We start from the raw sequence: 20,005 nt of genomic DNA, 5'->3' as shown, positions 1-20,005 counted from the left end.
GAATAGAAGGTAATTTTGTAGTTTATTAATAGATATCTAATGAAAACCTTCAGGAGATATTCTAATGGGGGCACAATAATGTGTTCTCTTTAAAAATACAAATTGAGAGTCACACCACAAAAAAAAAAATCACTGCCCTGGATTCTTCGAAAGGGTCCCAAAAAAACAAAGAAAGAAGAAAGTGGGGTCTAGGGAACTATTCTCAATTAAAGGAGATTGAAGTGTGACAACTAAATGCAATGTGTGATCCTTGACTGGATGCTAGATCAGGAAAACAACAGCTAATAGAGAATTTTATTAGGACAGTTGATAAAATTTGAATACATATGGTATAATAAATAATAGTATTATCATTGTGAAATTTCTCAATTCTGTTTACATAGAAGAATGCCTTTTTTCTTGTCTATAATTACTGAAATATTTAGGATGAAATATCACAATGTCTGCAACTTATTCCTCAGTGGTTAAAAATAATAAGAGAGAACAAAAAGCCAAATGTTAGAAATAGATTAATCTAGGTAAAAAGTTTGTATGTGTCCATTCTTTCACTTTTCTGAGGTTTTAAAAGTGGTTCAAAATTAGGAGATGTTTTCTTATCTTTAAATGAACAAGATATAGAAATGCCTCCTGTGCCTCTACTGAACATTGTTCTGAGAGTAGGGCTAATTCAATAAGACAAGAAAAATAAATAAGATAAATGAGAGTTGTAAATGAAAATATTTTTCACATGTAATATGATTCCATATATGGTTTTATACATAGAAAAATCCAAGAATGCATTAGGTATATCTCCTAATGGGTGCAGCACACCAACATGGCACATGCATACATATGTAACTAACCTGCACGTTGTGCACATGTACCCTAAAACTTAAAGTATAATAAAAAAAGGAAAAATCTAAGAATGCAAAACAAATACAAATTAACAGTTTCTTATGCACAAGCAGCAACCAATTAAAAGCTGTAAAAATCAAAGCATGCTATTCAAAATAGCAATAAAACTATAATGAAGAAATCTAACAAAATTGGTGCAAGATCTACATGAAGAAAAGTATAACATTTTATTGAAGGACACAAGGGGATTTAAATGAGTATCACCATGTTCATAAATAAGAAAACATGATATCATAAAGATACCAATTTTCCAGAAATTAATCTGTACATTAAATGCACTTTCTACCAAAATCCCAAAGAGTGTTTTTTCCTAAAAATTTGCAAGTTGTTCCTGGAAAGTAATAAGGTCAAAGATGAGCCAAAGTTCAAGAACAGCCGCGAGTATTTAAAAGAATAATGAAGAGAAGAGATATGTCCTACCAGATCTCAGAGCTGATTTGGAAACACGGAGATTGTAGTATCAGTACCAGGATAGATGAATTGATGTGAGGACAGAAGAGAAAAGCCAGAAACAGAACTTCCTATATCAGAAAACTTAGCATGAAGACATCATTTCCCTATCAATGGGGATAGAATGGGCTATTATTCAATGATGGTGACTGGAATATTGAAGGAAAACAATGGATCTCTTCCTTATACCACTCAGCAAAGTATCATTATAATCCTGAAAAATATCAATTTCAAATGGATCAATGAACTACAGGTGAAACCAAAGCTTTAAAAATTCTAGAACAAAATATGTAATATAATCTGGATTATATAGCAGGGAAGATTTTTCAAACAAGCCATAAAATGCACAACATGTACAGGCAACTGGCCATCCCACCAGCCTTAGAACACACCCTCCTGTCCAGCTGCAGATTGATTTCTAGGAAAGTGTCAATCTTTAGCTATTTTTTTTAACTTACTGTTGTTGGGGACCAGCCTCAACATCTCCCACAGGGTACCCAAAGTCCAGTGGTGATGAAGGAATGAGAAGAGACAGGTTAAGAGTGCATAAAGAGTGGGGGCCAGGGGGCCGATTGCACAGTGGAGGCTGCAAAAGGCCCAGAGTTCTGGTCTCCACACTATTTATTGAGTATGAACACTCAGATCTAAGAAGCAGAAGTTCAGTGTGAAACGGTGAAAGGGAGGCAGTGCGTCATACGCATCATCTATAGTAGTGGCAGTTTAAATTAATCTCCTTTGTGCTCAAACATCATATCTTTAACTTATCGGAGAGTAGCTAGTGGGAGCGGGCTTAACTAGGAGCCTGTGTGTCTGGCCACATTCCAGTGCTTCAAAGGAGTGTCTTTCTGCTTGAACACAGTGTTTATGGAGAAGAGAGCAAGCCTCGCTCAGAGCATGGGAATATAATGGTGATAAAAAGGCCTTCCTTTTCAGAGGCCTCTTGTGGCATTCCACAACTTATTGTCCCATATTTTTATGGCTAGTTTATGCAGGCACCACACAAGCCCTTTCCCAACAACCGTCTTCATTGTTCAGAAGAGGGCACCGCACCTCCTGAGGGCGAGAAGGAAGGGATGAAGCAAGTTCTCAAAGTGAGGGGTGATGTTTCAGCACAGCACCTGTGAGGAAAGTGACCAGGATCAAGTTCTCAATGGACAGACTGCAGCCAGGCCCAGAGGACATGAGCAAACAGGTGGTGGAGGCACCAGTCGGTCAAGTGAGGCTACTTTCTCCAACAGAACTCAGTTCTCCAGGCATGTCCACCATGAGAATGGCCAGGATTGACCTGGGTGTGGATTCTCACCCAGGCCTGGGAGAAGCCTTGGAATTAGGGAGCTAACAAGAGAGTTTGAACTTGGGCATTGGGTGTGAAAGAAGGAAAGCTAAAAGTCAAGGAAGGCCTAAAGGCTGGCATGGAGGGGAGGGGACCTGGAGGTGATGGGGCTGTCAGGGTGGGGGCAGCTGGGGTAGGTGGTGAGGCCCAGTGTGTCCAGGAGAGCATGCCATGGAGGTCGCAGGGGGAACACGGAAGGCAGCCAACCCATGGGTTCCCTAACGACATCCTTTCACAGGTGAGCTCAGAAAGTCTCCTCACCCTGTCCTAGCTAGCTTCTGTGGAGCTTTGAAAAGACAGACACTCATCAGTAGAGTCAGCCAGCCTAGTTGGAGAACCATCCTAGGAGAGGCTGCATGATGCTCAGGCTCTGCCATTGCCTGTGGTCAATCCTAGGCCTCATAAATTAGAACCCTGGATCCAGCCCTACTGCTTAAATGGTGCCCTCCTCGTTCCTGGGCCCCAACTGCCCTGGGCACTTTTCCTTCCTGCATAAGCAGCACCTTGCTCTTCTTGTAACCCCTGCCTTCGACGCACAGGGGACAAACAGAGCAAGCTGCCAGCCTGCTGTGATAGACGCAAGCACTTCTAGGGTGCACATTCAAATGTTACAGTGTCCAGGGAGAAGAGGGCCATGCCGCAGCACCCAAAGTTGTTTTAGATGTGAGACATGGTTCAGGTCCCCTTTGCAAGGACACAAAAAGTCACCGGAGCTCTCCATGTGCCAGGTGTCCTGCAAAGCAAGTGACCGACCTTCTGGATTTCCCACTGCGACCTATGTGGAAGCAACTAAGCCCAGAACAACTCAGCAAAAGGAGAAGGGCACAAGCTGCCTCTCCAAGCCCCTGCCCACTTTGTCATCGTCTCTCTCAGTCCCCCTCGCATCATCGGAAGCACAAAGTGTCCCTTTAACTCTCATCCCATTTACTCCAATTCCTCCCCAGGCAGGGCTGTTGCATTGCACAAGTTGTTGGGGCACCTGTGATCTGGCACACACAGTGACTGGGCTCCCTGGTGCTGTACAGAGCCTCTCCCGGCCTGTGTGGGCTGATGGAGGCTCAAGGGCTTCCCTGCAAGGGCTACTTGAAAGAGACCTAAAACGCTGGGAGTTCTAAGGCATGACAATGGAGACAGTTCAGGCAATGGGGCCAAGCAGGGGGCAGATCACTAAGTGAGAACCCTGACCCCATCCAGCCCACAGCCTCCCACCTGGGCCCTCTCCTGGAAGAGCTTCTGCCGATGTGATGCGAGGCTCTGTGCTCACAGCGGGAAGGGTTCTGCATAACAAGGAATTCAGAACATGGGGATGTCACAGGGCCAGAGACGGGGCGAAGAGATTTTGGCAAACACTCAGGAGGTTCCAGCTGAGCTGGCTGAAGCCTGGAAGATGGAAAGACACATTTGTTTGTTCTAAATTATTAAGACCAAAGAGATTTATTCTCAAACTGTAAAATCCTTCCAGGGAAAGCCCCATATCTCAGAGGCACGCATGGGATTCCTATTAGCATTCATAATCATTTTCTGCAACAGTCTGATGAGATGGCTCCTGTGAAACCTTAATCTCCTCCATGTGGCCTCCCAGTTGGCCAACTTCTCAGCTAAAAATAAAATCTATTCATCAACAAATACTTTAATATTGACTTCGTTGCCTGCATGCATGCTGGTTACCAGATTACATAACCATGTAGAATACAAGGCCATTTGTACTGAACTATTAAATCAAATGACACTTGGAGACATGTGCTTCTTTGGAGCCTTTTTTAATGTAGGAAACATAATGGGCTTTAATTGTGAAGCTCTTGCACCCTGAACAGAGAACCAGACCTTCCCGCAGCAGACACATCAGTGTCTCCTCGGCTCTTCCCTCCCCACAGTGACCCCACTCACGCCACAGTGCCGCATGGGAAGTCACAGGCCTGACAATGCATATTCCACACACACTAATAGAGAGGGATGACAGGCCAAAGTATGCGTCTTTGAAGAAAATGGACCTAAGGTTTTATGGATTTTCATTTTGAGGGTTTGTCATGGAAAACCCAGCCAAACACATTCTAAAGATGAAGTCAAGTTAAGAAGGAGGCAAAGTTAAGACCCTCTCCTCACCTTTTGCCAATCCACCCATGACATTTCTCTCTTTCAAACTCCTTTCCATGAGTTTTGTGGAAAGTCTGTCCTCATTGGCCCTTGTATGTTTCTGGATCTGTCCTGATTGGCTCTTGCGTGTCTCTGGGTCTGTGCTCATTGGCTCTTGTGTGTCTCTGGGTCTGTCTTGATTGGCTTTTGGGTGTCTCCGGGTCTGTGCTTATTGGCTTTTATGTGTCTCTGACAACTTCAAGTTCATTCAAATTACATTCGTGGTGTACCCACTCTGGGGCAGGCCCATACTGAGGGCTGGATCCCCAAGTACGTAGTCTATAAGGTCTCTGCCCTTGAGGAGCTCCTGGTCTAGTTGGGGGTGGGGCAGGTGAACAGAGAGACAGGTTACAGGCAAAGATTGCAGGAATGCCAGGAGGGAGGAATTTGTTCCCACAGGCTGGGAGATGGGGCCAGAGCAGGGCAGGCCCAGAGAACACAGCACTGGAGCTGGTCTCAACGGAGCCTTTTCACTACATTTTATTTGCACATCAAGGAATCATTCTAACTTTATTAAATACCCCATGTTCTTTACTGGTTGTCAGTTTCTTTGTTTCAGCTTCCTATGTGATTGCATCATCACTCTAGAATGATTCTAAATCTTTGGGACAGTAGTCTCAGCTGCCTTCAAAGCCCCAACCAACACCAACACCCATATGAACGCTGCACAACCACTGCTGGTTGACTTAGCCACCCCTAGCGATGGGGAAACCCTAAAACACTTGGTCTTTGTGTTTGATGAATTACATGAGCAAAGGAATGTCCATTCCTGAGTTTGACTTTGGGGACGGAAACCAGTGGCGCCCTACTGATGCTGTTACCACTTGCCGTGCATGTATGCCTGAGTGTTACTGCCTATTTTTGGTGCTGGAGAAGTTACAGAAGGCAACCCGTGGCTGCCTTACACTCCTCCTCCTCTGGGGCCTTGTGTCTCCTTGCCATTCTCTGTGAGGCTGAGGGTCTTCCCCCAAAACTGTAAACTCAGGTCCTCACAGAGAATGAAGCAGTTAAAGCACACCAACTTCACAGAATAGACAAAGAACAGGAGTGAGGCGCCAGGGTGTATAACGCAGTAGACAGTCACCACACAGGAACTAGGAACTGGTCTGCTGGTGACCTTCCCCAAGTGATTTATTCCCTGTGTGCCTCAGAGTCCATCTGTTCAACGAATGAGCATGGCTAAGGCTTCAGAGGTCATCTTTTGGTCTGGTTTTTAGGACTCTTGATAGGAGTTAGAAGCCAAAGTGCCTCACAGAGTGTTTACATATTTCTAAAATATGCATTGCTGAAGCTGATTGGCGAGACCTCAAAACCCAGCTCTAGGCTTCTTGCACCTTATGGATGTTGGGTGGAAAGCAATCCTGATGGCCATAGGCCCCTGCTGCCCCTTGAAGAGGGACAGTGCTAGAAACAAGCTGCTCAAACCTGAAGTCCAGATGGGCAGTAGGGAGTATCAGCTTCCCTGGAGGATGAGATGAGAGGAAACATGCAAACCGTGGCTGCTTCCCGGGGCAGGACCCAGCACACCTGTCCCCACATGGGCATGGTGGAGAACAAGGGACTTGCTAGCTGGCCGTGGCCTGCAGCAGAGGGAACAGCCAAGGGCAGGGCCCTGCAGGCTACTCTCAAATAGCCCAGAGGCCCTGAGGAAGAGCAAACCCTCAATTAACTGGTCCCCAGGGAAGGCTGCATTCTCGTTATCTGAATGTTCTGACGAAAAGGTGAAACCAGTCCTCTTTTGTCTTGGTCTTTGCTATTGGAAATCCTATAAAATTGTGTGATTCCTTTCCAAGCCTTGGAAAACACAGAAAAGAAGCCCAGTTGGAGCCTTCTTTCATGCCAGGGCATCATGAATTGCCTCCAGATTTTCCTTCAGAATCGTTATCAGGAACTCCCTGGGCTGAGGGCAGGAGGGTGAGCTGTCCTGGGTTTACATTAGTGGTTCTGGCAGGAGGGCGAACCCTCATTCACCCCTGGTCTTGCTTTGGGGAAAACACCCTCTGGTCTGAGCCAAGTCACTTGGGGGCTGGCGTGGGAACAGCAGGGAGGCACAGGTCCAGGGTCCCGGCAGCTGAGCCGGCAGAGGGGCTTATATGTCACAGATGCCCCATCAGCTCACCTTTGCTTCCAATGCACTGCCACATCCCAACCCCCACGTGGTTCCTGGGGCCAAGAAGTTGTTACTTAAAAAATGTGAATGTTGAAATTCAATTGGGAAACAATTTGAATGTCAGCTTTCTTTCTCATGCATTTACTCATTTTTCTAAAGGTAAGGAAATGAACACAGGTTAATTAGATATGTCCACTCCTTGACCATAACCAAAACCCCAGGGCCAGGCAGCCTCCCTGCAGGCAGGACAGGGTGGCCAACAGAAAGGCAACTTTGGCTGCAAGGGGTGAGGGTTTGGGGAGTGTAATGGGGGCTGGTGGAGGTGGAAGAAGGGGCTGCTGAAAGGAAAGCTCAACTGTACCCTGCATATAAATCGTCAGCCAATGCATCAAACCTGGGCAGTTCATTTGGTTGTCAGAGGTTTTTGTAAAGTAAGTTTGATTACTTTAGACCTTATTTCACAAGGAAAATGAAAAGAACAAAACAACCGCGGATCAGAAGAGAAATAAACTCCTTGACTGCAATCCCATGGCAATACGGTGGGGAGAAGGCATTTGCAATTTAGCCAGCAACCCCCACACATGAGCTGCCCCCACACCACACAGCTGTGTGCGACCGACAGAAGCCCCAGGCTGCGTGGAAGAAGAGCAGGCCAGAGCCATCGCCATCACTGCCTGGCAGAGCTCGAGGACCCAGTGCCATCATGGGTAGAGGGAGGGATTTGGAGACTGCCAGGACCAGAGCCCCCTACTCCGCCCCACCACCCACAGTCACCCACAGTCACCTGATGGGCTTGCTCCTTGCTTCAGGAGGTGCAGGATGGCCCTTTGAAGGTTTGCCTCTGCAGTGTGTCATCTGAGCAGACACAGGACCTCTCTGGTGCCCGTAGAGGAATCCAGACAGCACAAGTGCATCGGTGTCCTACAGCTGCCGTGACAAATTCCTACTCTCTCACCAACTGCCTTACAGTTCCAGAGGTCAGAAGAGTGACAGGGTCAGTCGCACTGAGCTAAAATCTGGCTGCATTCCTTCTGGAGGCCCTAGGGGAAAATCTGTTTCCTGTTCATTCAGGGGTTGACAGAACTCAGCTCCATGCAGGTGCAGGATTGAGGTCTCTGTCACCCTGCTGGCTGGCAGACGCTTGCCCCATGGATCTCAGAACAAGCAGCATGGTGTTGAAGCCTCCCGCGTCACATCATGTCACTTCTCTCTACTCTTCTCCCATTGTCTTCTCTCTCCACTTTTAAGGACCCTGGGATGTCATTAGGCCACCTGAGTAACCCAGGATCATCTCTCATCTCAAGATCATTCAGTGAATCACATCTGCAACCTCCCTTTGCCATGTCAGGTCACTGGTTCTGCAATGGACCATAGCACCAGTGACACACCACAGTCACAGAGGCAGCCCATGGCAGCATGGGCCGGGACCAGTGACACACCACAGTCACAGAGGCAGCCCGTGGCAGCGTGGGCCGGGACCAGTGACACACCACAGTCACAGAGGCAGCCCGTGGCAGCGTGGGCCGGGACCAGTGACACACCACAGTCACAGAGGCAGCCCGTGGCAGCGTGGGCCGGGACCAGTGACACACCACAGTCACAGAGGCAGCCCGTGGCAGCGTGGACCACAGGACCAACTTGACCATTTCCAGCAGGATGCTCTCCTGCCGGGACCTGCAGGGACCACGAATGTGTAAATATGCCCCAAGCAGCTCATCCTCTCCCCACGGGGCCTGCTCCTTCTGTGCTCTTCCCTTCCCCCAGCCTCCAGCACATGACCTCCCCCTTCTATGAAGATGCATGTCTCAGAGCTGACATCTCTCCTCCACGCTGTTGCCCAAGCTTTGGCCAGGTGAGAATCCCCACACCTACTGCTGACACGGTAACCTGGGAGACCCCATCATGTATCTCCCAAACTGGGCCACTTTGGAAAACGTAAAGGGCGCCATCAATAATGACATCAGGACATCAGCATAAACCAGGACAGTCCTGGGCCAGGCAGGACGTAAGGTCACTCTACCTTAACCTCTCAGCTTCCCCACCCATGAATGGCGGATGGTGACGGCCCCTGCACAGCCACCTCACTGCGGGGTCCTGGACCATGGCCAGGGCTCAGGAAGTGAACTCCATTGTTTACATTGGTGGTGGTCTCCTGACTGCTCCCCTGCATCTGGGCGACCCCCACTCCCATCACAGATGTTTCCCACCACTGAGCTGTGTCTCTCTCCAGGCTCCCCACTACCCGGAAGATAAAGCTGAGACTCCTTCACATGGCAGCTGTGCTGGTTCTTCTCCACCACAGGCTCCGTTCAGGTTAGACTCAACCACAGGGAGCCAGGAGGAGAAGCACAGGCAGGAGCAGAGGGGCCCCGGCCCCCACAGGGCTGCAGCTCTCCAAGGCAGAGCGCTCTCCCTAGTCCCCGGCCCTGTGCTGTAGACCCAGGGTGGGAACAGCTCCCCACTGTTGCTAGTCAAGGGTGTGCACCAGCCCATAGTCCGGTAATACTGCTCACCCCTCTCCAGTGACCGTGTCATCAGAGTCTCCTCGTTTGAACCCCTGGGGCCTGCTATGGTTTGGACATAGTTTGTTTGACTCCACCAAGTCTCATGTGGAAATTTATCCCCAGTGTTGGAAGTGGGGGCTGGTGGGAGGTGTCTGGGTCGTGGGAGTGGAGTCCTCATGAGTAGCTTAGTGCCCTCCTTGTAGTGACAAGTGAGGTCCCACTTAGTTCTGGTGAGAACTGGTTGTTAGAAAGACCCCAGCTCCTCCTCTCCTTTTGTGGCCTGTCTTGTGGTGTGATTTCTGCACTTGCTCACACCCGTGGGCTTTCTGCCATGAGTAGAGGTAGCCTGAGGCCTCGCCGGGAGCAGATGCTGGCGCCATGTTTCTTGTACAGCCTGCAGAAACATGAGCCAAATAAACCTCTTTTCTTTATCAGCTGTCCAGCCTCAGGTGTCCCTTTGTAGCAACACAAAACAGACTAAGGCAGAGATGAATTCTGATATCTTCTGGGAACTAGCTGGAAGCATCCAAAAACAGACCCCAAAAATGGGCTTCTGGGGCCAGGCTACTCAGATCCTTGATGAAGGCACAGATGACCCTTTACCAGGGAAAATGGGATCCAGGAAACCTGAGCAGGCAGTGGGGTCACAGTCACCCTAATTGTCATCAAGTTGGCATGGGATGGTGTGCAGGTGGAGGGCAAAGAGGGTGAGGCTGCCAGGCTTGATCACTCCAACAATGGTGGGCTCACTAATGGGGGCTTCACCCCAGATGTGAGGCAAGTCCAGTTATCATTAGGGATGGATGGGGGCAGGGATAATGGGGGCATCACCCCAGAGGTGAGGTGAGTCCAGTTATCATCAGGGATGGATGGGGGCAGGGAGGGTGGGAGTTTCCCATGCTGGGTGCACACAACAAGAAAGTGGTTTTTTGGCAGATAATTTAGAATAAGAATATAACTGACACAGTCTGCTTTGTACTATAGCCATGTGATGGCAGCTCCACACCATGGCGGTGATAACACATTCCTCTCCTGGGCAGACCTCTTCTGGCACTGCCCACCCTCAGGGCACAGCACATTGACCACGAGAGGCCACAGAGACAGAAGGCTGAGATTGAACCTCATTGGGGGTCTGAGGCTGTAAGTGGCAGTCACAGGTTTCCAGGAGTGAGTGATAGAAGGAGGGAGCTATGATGATCTATGTTGGCTTGACGACCAGCTTTGGTGGGAGCTAGGAGAAGGCAAGCTATGGCAGGGGGTAAGGGGATCCCCAGCTATCAGAGGAGGATGGCCGGCTATGGAGGTGGCTGGAGCGGCCAGGCATGCATTCTCTGCATTTTTTTTCTTTCATCCTATGCTTTGCTACATCCTCCATGATGGGCACCAGTGGAACCAGGTGTCAGGTTCGGGCAGAGGAACAATTGCCTAACATCATCCCACAATGACGGGGTGGCCAGTGAGCCTTGGTGTCTCCTGGGAGGGGGCTGGGAGTTTCTCCATCTGAACAAAGGACAGGAATGGATTCTGGGGGCCTGGGGTGCTGAGGACACTGCACATTCTTCAGCTGATACCCTCACCCTGTTCGTTCCCCCCATTCCCTTGTGGCTGCTCTCTTTGGGTTGTGCTTGGGGAAGGCGTAGCAGGAGCAGAAGGGTGGATGGAGAGGTTGGTGTTTCTCCTGTACCCTCCTGCTTTGGTGCTGCACCACCCAAGCTGCAGCTTCTCCCAAGAGGCCCCTCTCTGTGGGCCCGTTAGCCCTGGGGATACAGCAGCTCCCCACTGTTGCCAGCCCCTGGGTGCCTTGACTTCCCTGTGGGCCCCCTTAACCCTGCCCTCCCCACAGGAATCCTCACTGGACCCCAGGTTGAGCCCTGTTTCCTGCCCAGCCCCTGACTGCTCCTGCGGGGTACAAGGCCTGGATACGCTGGCCCCAATGGCAGCCCAACATCATCCCCTGGAGCCCCTCAGCCAGCTGCCCTGCTCCACCAGGACGCCAGAAGCTGCCCTCAGCCGGCTGCCCGCTCCACCAGGATGCCTAAAGTCACACGGAGCCTGGCTCTGTTCCTCGTGAGGCAAGCTGGCCTGCCCTGGTCCCCTGACCAAGCGCTCTTGTCGTCTGTTCACACTGAACCACCTCTCTCCAGACCTTCCCTGACTGTCCACCCATGCCCATGGGCAGATTGGAATTAAGAGTGGCCTGAGACCAGATGCAAGATGGCATGACTTCCAACCTCGAAGTCTATACCCGACCACATTTTAATCACCTATGAGAACAGAACAAAGAAATTTTCAGACATCAGAAAGTTGACTTCACGTGTACCCTTTCTTAGGTAATATTGAAGGACGTCTTTCACGGTCAAATAAGGGATTCAGTCCTGAAGAAAGAAGATAGAAAATCCAGAAAACAGAGAATCCCACCCAGTGGAAAAGCCAAAGGAATTCCCAGGATGATGGTGAGGAGAAGCCCAGGGTCGTCACTGTGTGGTGGCCTGGGGTGCCCAGCCTGGGGCAGGAGCTGGAGGACACTAGGAGGGATGACCCCAAAACAGAAAGTCACAGAATGTGACATTGAAAGGGGTTTGGGTTTGCTGTAAAGTTTGAGGTGGAATTTAAAATAGGTAAATAGAAAAACATATTTTAAAAGAGGAAGGAAAGTTTCAAGAAAATCAAAGAAGCTGACTTCCCAAAAAAAGGTTGTATGTTTTTGGTACAATATGTGCCTTAACTGTGAAAAATATTTACATGATAGTAATAAAAAACACCAAATATTGATTTAGCCAACAATTATGAAATGACTCAACAGGGAATACTTAGTGGTGAAGGGATGTGTGGGCAGGTGGGCATGGGGCGTGATAGAAGGAGACTCATTCTCTTCCACAACAGAAAGTCAGTCGACACAAAAAGAGAAAAGCCATGAGCATGTCTCTTAGAAACACGGGGTCAGTACCGAAGAAAACAGCGCAAAAACTATTCAAACAGAAAAGATCCGCCTGTCTCAGCCTCCCAAAGTGCTTGGATTACAGGCGTGAGCCACCACGCCTAGCCTTGTTTGACTTTTTAAACCAAGCATTTGCATATTTTAACTAGAAAGTGTTTTTAAAAAGAAAAAATCAAGCTACCTGAGATTTTTCCTAATTAATATCACTTAAATGCCTGAAATTTTAATTCCACCTATAAAATAACATAAAATATAACTTCCCATTTTCAGAAAATATAAAAATACATACATTATTATATTCACAGAAACAAGACCAGAACAGATTCCCCGAAGTATTCACAGTTATCCTTTAACTCTTTATAATCTTTCTGCAAAAAGAAAACAGCTCAAAACAGCTCAAAACCCAAAAATCCTGGGTGCAGGAATGGGAGATGGAAAAAGTAGAACAATCTTGTTTGACTTTTTTTTTTTTTTTTTTTTTTGAGATGGAGTCTCACTCTGTTGCCCAGGCTGCAGTGCAGTCATGCGATCTCTGCTCACTGTAACCTCTGCTTCCTGGGTTCAAGCGATTCTCCCACCTCAGCCTCCTGAGTAGCTGAGACTACAGGTGCACACCACCACACCTGGCCAATTTTTGCATTTTTAGTAGAGACAGGGGTTTTGCCATGTTGGCCAGGCTGGTCTCGAACTCCTAACCTTAGGTGATCCACCTGCCTCAGCCTCCCAAAGTGCTTGGATTACAGGTGTGAGCCACCGTGCCTGGCCTTGTTTGAGTTTTTAAACCAAGTATTTGCATATTTTAACTAGAAAGTGTTTTTAAAAAGAAAAGAAAAAATCAAGCCACCTGAGACTTTTCCTAATTAATATCACTTAAGTGCCTGAAATTTTAAAACTCTCAGATTTTTTTAAAACCTTTGAGGGGAAAAAATTGTGACCAGAGAATCTTTCCACCAAGTATGAGGATAGTATGGAGACACTTTTGGATATGGAGGCTCAAAAACTGTCTATACAGACACATATATACATACATACTCTAAAAATTACTTCAACATTTTATAGTTGAATAAAAAAGATTCAATATTGAGAGTTCAAAAATATGGAAAAGTTAAAAAATGGAGACCAATAGAAACAGTTTTTAAAAAGGAATGAGTTTAAATAAATACTGTTAGAATATTTATTAAAAGTAATAAAAATATTACAATTATTCTTGGAAAATAGGTTGCTTATGTTATGAAATTCAATAATAACATTTTTGGATATAAAAATCCCAGGATATAGTACAAAAGGTTGAAAGGAAAGATGCATGTACAAAGCCAACCAAAACATCTAGACATAAAGGATTAAATAATTAGTTTTGATAAATTCAGGTGATAGAACTGTATAGAATCATTTTTAAAGTGTGATTTAGGGGAATATTTCAAATCATCATTAATGCTCAGAATAGATCCCTTAGTAAAAATGGCAGTCACCAAGAAACATAATATAAATCTAAGCATAACATAACCTATACCATAACATAAAATATAACTTCCCATTTTCAGAAAATGTAAAAATATATACATTATTATTATATTCACAGAAACAAGACCAGAAGAGATTCCCCAAAGTATTCACAGTTATCCTCGTAAGTCTTTATAATCTTTCTGCATTTTCCAAGTCTTCTATAATGATTCTGCTCTACTCCTTTTAGACAACTAACAAGCAAAGCATGAGTCCCATGGCCATGCCCACAGATCATACTAGACACACAAGTCCCCAGGCCAAGGTTTAGCAGCTTGGAGCCTGCTTTTTCTTCTCTTTTTGGTACATCTTTTCTTCTCCTTTAGAACATTGAAATAAAAAGTCCAACATATGCACTTTGTACTCAGTAGCAACTCTACTCTTGCCAAGATAGTGGTCTTGTGATGGCCTAAGTGGGGAAAGAGAGAATGGGGATGAAGGGTACTAGATAGGCGATGTACTCAAACTGGGCTTTGGAAAGCATTTTGAAATTGTCGATCATGGTGTTGTGGAAGGACTGATGTACAAGAAATCCAAGCAAGGGTGTAGTCTAAACTATGAGAGCAGCGTAGACCCTTCCAAGTCTTCGTGTCTATCCCTAAAGCAGAGATAATATGGTCCTCACCTGACTGGTGGAGATGTGTAAGGCCGTTAAGGATGTAGCAGGCATGTAGTGGAACCCTCTGCATACTTCAGGCTTCCAGACCTGGAGGCTGTCAGGCTTACTACCTGGCATGAGGGCTGCCAGCCCCACCTCCCTCTACCTGTCTCTTCCTGGACCCACCACTTTCACTCCCACCTCCCTGCTCTCCTCTCCCTCAGTTGCTAAGATGAGCTCGTTTCACTTTCTTCCTTCCAAAGGCAGTTGCAAACTTTATAGTCCCATTGTTTGAAATTATTGAAGATGCTAATGTTTGATGTGGAAGTTTAAGCCTGTCAGGAAATTTCACTTTCAAAGTCCTTCAGTCGGTTCAAAAATTCCTCACATGCGATGTCCTCTTGATGGTGTTTCCAAACCCCTTGGAGCCTATCTGGAGTGAAATGGTCCACACTGAAGCCCTTCTGGGGGATATGACAGAACCCTAAAGATTGTCAGCACTGTCCGTTTTTAACCATGGTCTGACATGCGCATACTGTCTTAGGAGTAATTGTTAGTTCTGAACTCACCAGTGAGCATTGCAGAGCTAAATAATCCAGAGGTCTCCTGCAAAAGTAAATATAATAGAGAGTGCTACACCCTGTGCTTGTGACGAATGCCAAGGCTTGGCAGACCAGGCCTCTGCTGGGCTCTGGACTCAGGGCTCCGGCCTCCAACAGCCAGAAATCCCACCAACACCAAGGAGACTGTACCCAGAAAAGGTCACCCAGAAATCCCATCACTTTTGGACCATGGCAGAATATTTGCCTCTCCAGAGGTTGAAACAAAGTATGAGTCACTTCCAAAATTATTTTATAAAAGTTAAAATGTTTCCTTTAAAAAGAAAAATCCTATCAGAATGCAGATTGGGGTTTGCCAGGGTCTGTGGGGGTTGAGGAATAGGGAAAAACTGCTTAATGCATAAGGGGTTTTGCTGTGCAGCAATGGGAATGTTTTAGAACCAGGTAGAGGGGGTGGCTGTGCAGCTTTGTGACTGTACTCCCTGCCACTGAATGGCAAAAATTGTTAGTTTTATTTCATGTGAATTTCACCTCAATAAATTACTGTAAAAATCATTTCAAATGATTTTTCTCCCCTCTGGCTGGCAAGGCTCATTATCTTTGGGTGAGGGTGGTGGCACTTATGGTGTATAGTACAGCAGACAAAGCACAAAATTGGCACCAGCCTGACTGGTATGTGCACTGGATGACCTGGGGCAAGTTGTTTACTTATGCTGTGTGGTCAAATGAGGCCAGTGATCTAGCTGTTTATTAAATAATCTGTACATTTTTCTAATGAACAAAGCAATACTGGTATATTATAAAACAGCGATCCTCAACCTTTTTTGGCACCAGGGACAGGTTTTGTGGAAGACAATTTTTCCACAGACCGGGGAAGGGGGATGGTTTCAGGATGATTCAGGTGCATTACATTAATTGTGCACTTTCTATTATTATTACATTGTAATATATCATGAAATAATTATACAACTCACCATAATGTGGATTCAGTGGGAGCCCTGAGCTTTTTTTTTTTTTTTTTTTTTTTTTTTGCAACTAGATGGTCCCATCTGGGAGTGATGGGAGACAGTGACAGGTCATCAGGCATTAGATTCTTGTAAGGAGTACACACCTAGATCCTTCACATGCGCAGTTCACAGTAGGGTTTGTGCTCCTACGAGAAGCTAATGCTGCGGCTGATCTGACAGGAGGTAGAGCTCAGGTGAGAATGTGAGTGATGGGAAGTAGCTGTAAATACAGATGAAGCTTTGCTCGCTTACCCAATACTCACTTCCTGCCGTGAGGCCCGGTGAGGCCTGGTTCCTAACAGGCCACAGACAGGTACCAGTGCCAGTCCATGGCCCAGGGATTGGGGACCCCTGTTATAAATTTTATATAAAATAAGAAAATAAAAATCATCCAAAACTTCACTACTCAAAGGTGACATTTTGTATTTTGTTTTCTAGCTGTCTAACCCTTTTCATACCCATGTATATTTTTAAGTATTTTTGATCTCCATGCTTTTCTTAGCCAGTCCTTTGTTCTTGGACTCTGCCTGTCCCGGGCCATGTCAGCAGGAAGCTTGCAGACACCTCCCTCCTTCACGCTTAGGGAGCATTTCCTGGGGTGGGAGTGGGAATTGGAAAGATGTTTGAATCACCCACCATTGGGATTTGCTCTTTTAAATCTTTAAGTTTCTGTTCCTTCCTTTGTCTTCAGAGTTTTTATTAAAACAATGCCAGTTTTCCATCTCCTCTGTGGCATCTGTTTATTCTCTTTGACTTTCAGAAAGCTGAACATATGACTCATTTCTGTGTGCGTGTGTGTGCGTCTTTGTGAAGCAACGCAGAGTAAAAGGGAAGTGAAGTCGGGAATAATTATTTGAACCTGATTCTTCTGTGAATGTTTCAATGAGAAATAAATCTTGTTTCCCCTCACAGGAATTTGCAAGTTTGCTACAAGCCAAACAGAAAGATTGGTCCAGGGCTGTGAATTTGGTCAGAGCCCCTTCCAGTTGGAAGTAGCAACTCTTTGCAGCCCCAGTAACAGGAAGTCCATGTGAGTGTGCTTGGGCCCTACGGGACCTGACTCAGACCCAGGTACCTTTCACACGGCAGGTGCAGAGCAGGTCAGCCCTGTCAGCCGATGGAGTTGGACATTCCCAGGCTCATCTCTCCTTCTAGGACTTACTGTCACCTCTCCAAGCCACTCTTTTCAGCTTGCTGGTGGCCTCCTGACCCTCCTCCCAGCCATTAATATCCATCCATAGCCTCCTGTCACCAAGGGCAGCTGATAGCATCTGACTCACCATAGACAAGTGACTAACTCTCATGTGAAAGGTCGCTTCTCTCCAGCATGAGACAACAGAGTGACTAAAACAACTAGATCTCCAACAGTGGAGCCTAAGGCACCAGTGAAAGCTCAGTGAGGAGGAAGCCACTGTTCTTATCCAGTGAGTGAGGGGGCCGCTAAGTAGACTTTAGGAAGCACAGTGTGGGATGGCCCCTGGATATCTCAGTCTCCTGGAGTCACACTGGAGCCTGCTCTAGGACCTGGACCAAAGCCTCCTTCCCAGGTCTCTTCCCACCCTGCACTACCTCTACCAGTGGATTTTCTACCTGGATTATTAACCACTCAGAGCAAACCCCACAGAGAAGGGAGTCTCCCTCCAGGGGCACTCAGAGGCTCAGTTTGCCTCAGTCGTCTTCATTCATTTGTGGCTCTTCGTAGCTTTCAGTTTACCAAAAAATCAATCAATCAATCAATCAATGAGCAAGTCCACATCATCACTGGCTTCTAAGAGTTTCCTCCAAATCCCAGCGTTACCTTGCCTTCTACAGCAGTGCCCCCTCATCCACAGTTTCACTTTCTGAGGTTTCAGTTACCCACGGTAAACCAAGGTCTGAAAATAGTAAATGGAAAGTGCCAGAGATGGATAGTTCATGTGTTTTCAATGATATGCCATTCTGAGCAGTGTGATGAAATCTCACACCACCTACTCCATCCCCCAGACAGGGATTGTCCCTTCACCCAGCTCATCCACATTCTAGACCCCACTTCACAGGCGTCTCAGTGATCAGATTGTCAAGTGGTCCTTATATTACTTAATAATGGCCCTAAAACACCAGAGTGATGATGCTGGCAACTGTTATAATTATTCTATTTTATTGTTAGTTATTGTTAACCCCTTACCACACCTAATTTATAAATGAAGCTTATTGTAGGTATATATGCATAGGAAAAAGCACAGTACATGTAGGATTTGGTACTATCTGAGGTTTCGGGCATCCACGGGTGTCTACAACTGTACATGGAATGAAAGTTCCGATTCTGAAAAGCAACCTGGAACAAGACAGGCCATCAGCACTTCCTGACTCCAGCCCTCCGTGGGGTGGCGCTCCCCACAAGAAGGGGTCCCCGACACCACCTCGCCAGACGCTGTGCATCTGGGAGGCTTCTAAGCGAAACAGACCCAGGAGCAGCAGCAGTGGAAATGAGGCCCCAAACAATAGCAGCAGGGCTTTGGTAAAGCAGGCTTGGAGCAAGCGGCTCTGATGGGCGCTTTCATAGAGTGGCCGTTTCTCCTCCTAAACCCAGATCTAGGCCTTGGTGTCCAGTCCTCCCCTGCACAGGATGGTCTCACCTGAAAACTCCTAACATAATGACATCTGCATGCCCACGATGGGGCAGCAGCCCCATCACACCTTGGTGAAAAAATTCTCTCTTCAGAGAGTAGAGGGACCATGTCTGGACCCCAGGATGCCTCTTAGTATTTTCATGCCCTGTAGCAAAGGGTGATATAAAATTACAGCAACCAAAGAAGAGGCCGCAGGATCAAAGATCCAGACACTTTATGAATGAATGTCAGGGTCACTATGCTAGGCAAAGGACAGCATGAGCAGAGGTTCTAGCTAAAGCTGGGGAAATACGGAACAAGTCATTGACAAAGGAAGCCAAATATGTCAACTACGGCCTCATGACCAATACAGAAACAAGTAGCTTTGCATATTTTTGCTCCTCTGTGTGTTTTTATTTAGACGTCCTAACCATTTTCTTTTTCTCTCCTACCAGTATTTTTTTTTTTTTTGAGACAGTGTCTGAGTCTGTCACCCAGACTAAAGTGCTATGGCGTGATCCCGGTTCACTGCAACCTCTGCCTCCCAGGCTCAAGCGATTCTCCTGCCTCAACCTCCAGAGTAGCTGGAATTACAGGCGCCCGCCACCATGCCCAGCTAATTTTGTATTTTTAGTAGAGATGGGTTTTCGCCATGTTGGCCAGGCTGGTCTCGAACTCTTGACCTCAGGTGATCCACTCACATCGGCCTCCCAAAGTGCTGGGATTACAGGTGTGAGCCACCGCGCCCGGCCCCACCAGTATATTTTTACATGCAAGTTGATGCAGGTTATTTTTACAATTTGGTCTCTAGGAGCAGAATATGCAGTGGCGCTGCGCCACATCCTTTCCTGGGGTACATGGGGTGGGGAGCTTTTTCTCAGTGTGTTCCTTCCCTAGGGCCCTGCCTTAGCCCTGGAGGCGGTACTTGCTCCCTGCACAGCTGTCCCGTGTGCTCTTTATCCATTAGGAGCTCTTCTCTTTTCCGAGTTAATAATTAGAGTAAATGCTCCCTGGTCAGTTAACGGATGTGATTTTCTCATGACTAGGCCTTCGTCTAATGCAAATGGTATTGTATGAAAGTCTTACTATAAAGGCAAACTTTATAAAAAAAAAAAAAAAAAAAAGTAAACCTCCCCAAATGCAAAAAATATCTACCGAAAAATAGAGAAGGCGCAAATTACAAAGACTGAATAGGGAAAGACAATTTATACAGACAATCTCGTAGAACCGAGGGCACACATTAATCATCTTAATAAATGTCCATTTTCAATCACTCTGCATCCTACAGCCATGCTGGAGACAGGGAAAACGCCAATGTTTCTTCCTTCTTCTTTGCTTTCTGATTCAAAGAGATTTTAGTACACCATGGGATCCTGAATGTGGCCACAGT

The 20,005-nt window shown here is 46.8% G+C and overlaps 1 annotated feature.

The window, feature by feature from the left end:
* Window positions 3,612-4,234: an enhancer, noted in NCBI's record as "OCT4-NANOG-H3K4me1 hESC enhancer chr2:239565991-239566613 (GRCh37/hg19 assembly coordinates)". NCBI's record gives its function as "activates a minimal SCP1, AML or CMV promoter by ChIP-STARR-seq in primed H9 embryonic stem cells {active_cell/tissue: H9 hESC(primed)}" and the evidence as "EXISTENCE:reporter gene assay evidence [ECO:0000049][PMID:30033119]".

This window comes from Homo sapiens, chromosome 2 (assembly GCF_000001405.40).
Source record: "Homo sapiens chromosome 2, GRCh38.p14 Primary Assembly".
NCBI lineage: Eukaryota > Metazoa > Chordata > Mammalia > Primates > Hominidae > Homo > Homo sapiens.
This window is presented reverse-complemented; position numbering and strand designations above follow the sequence as displayed.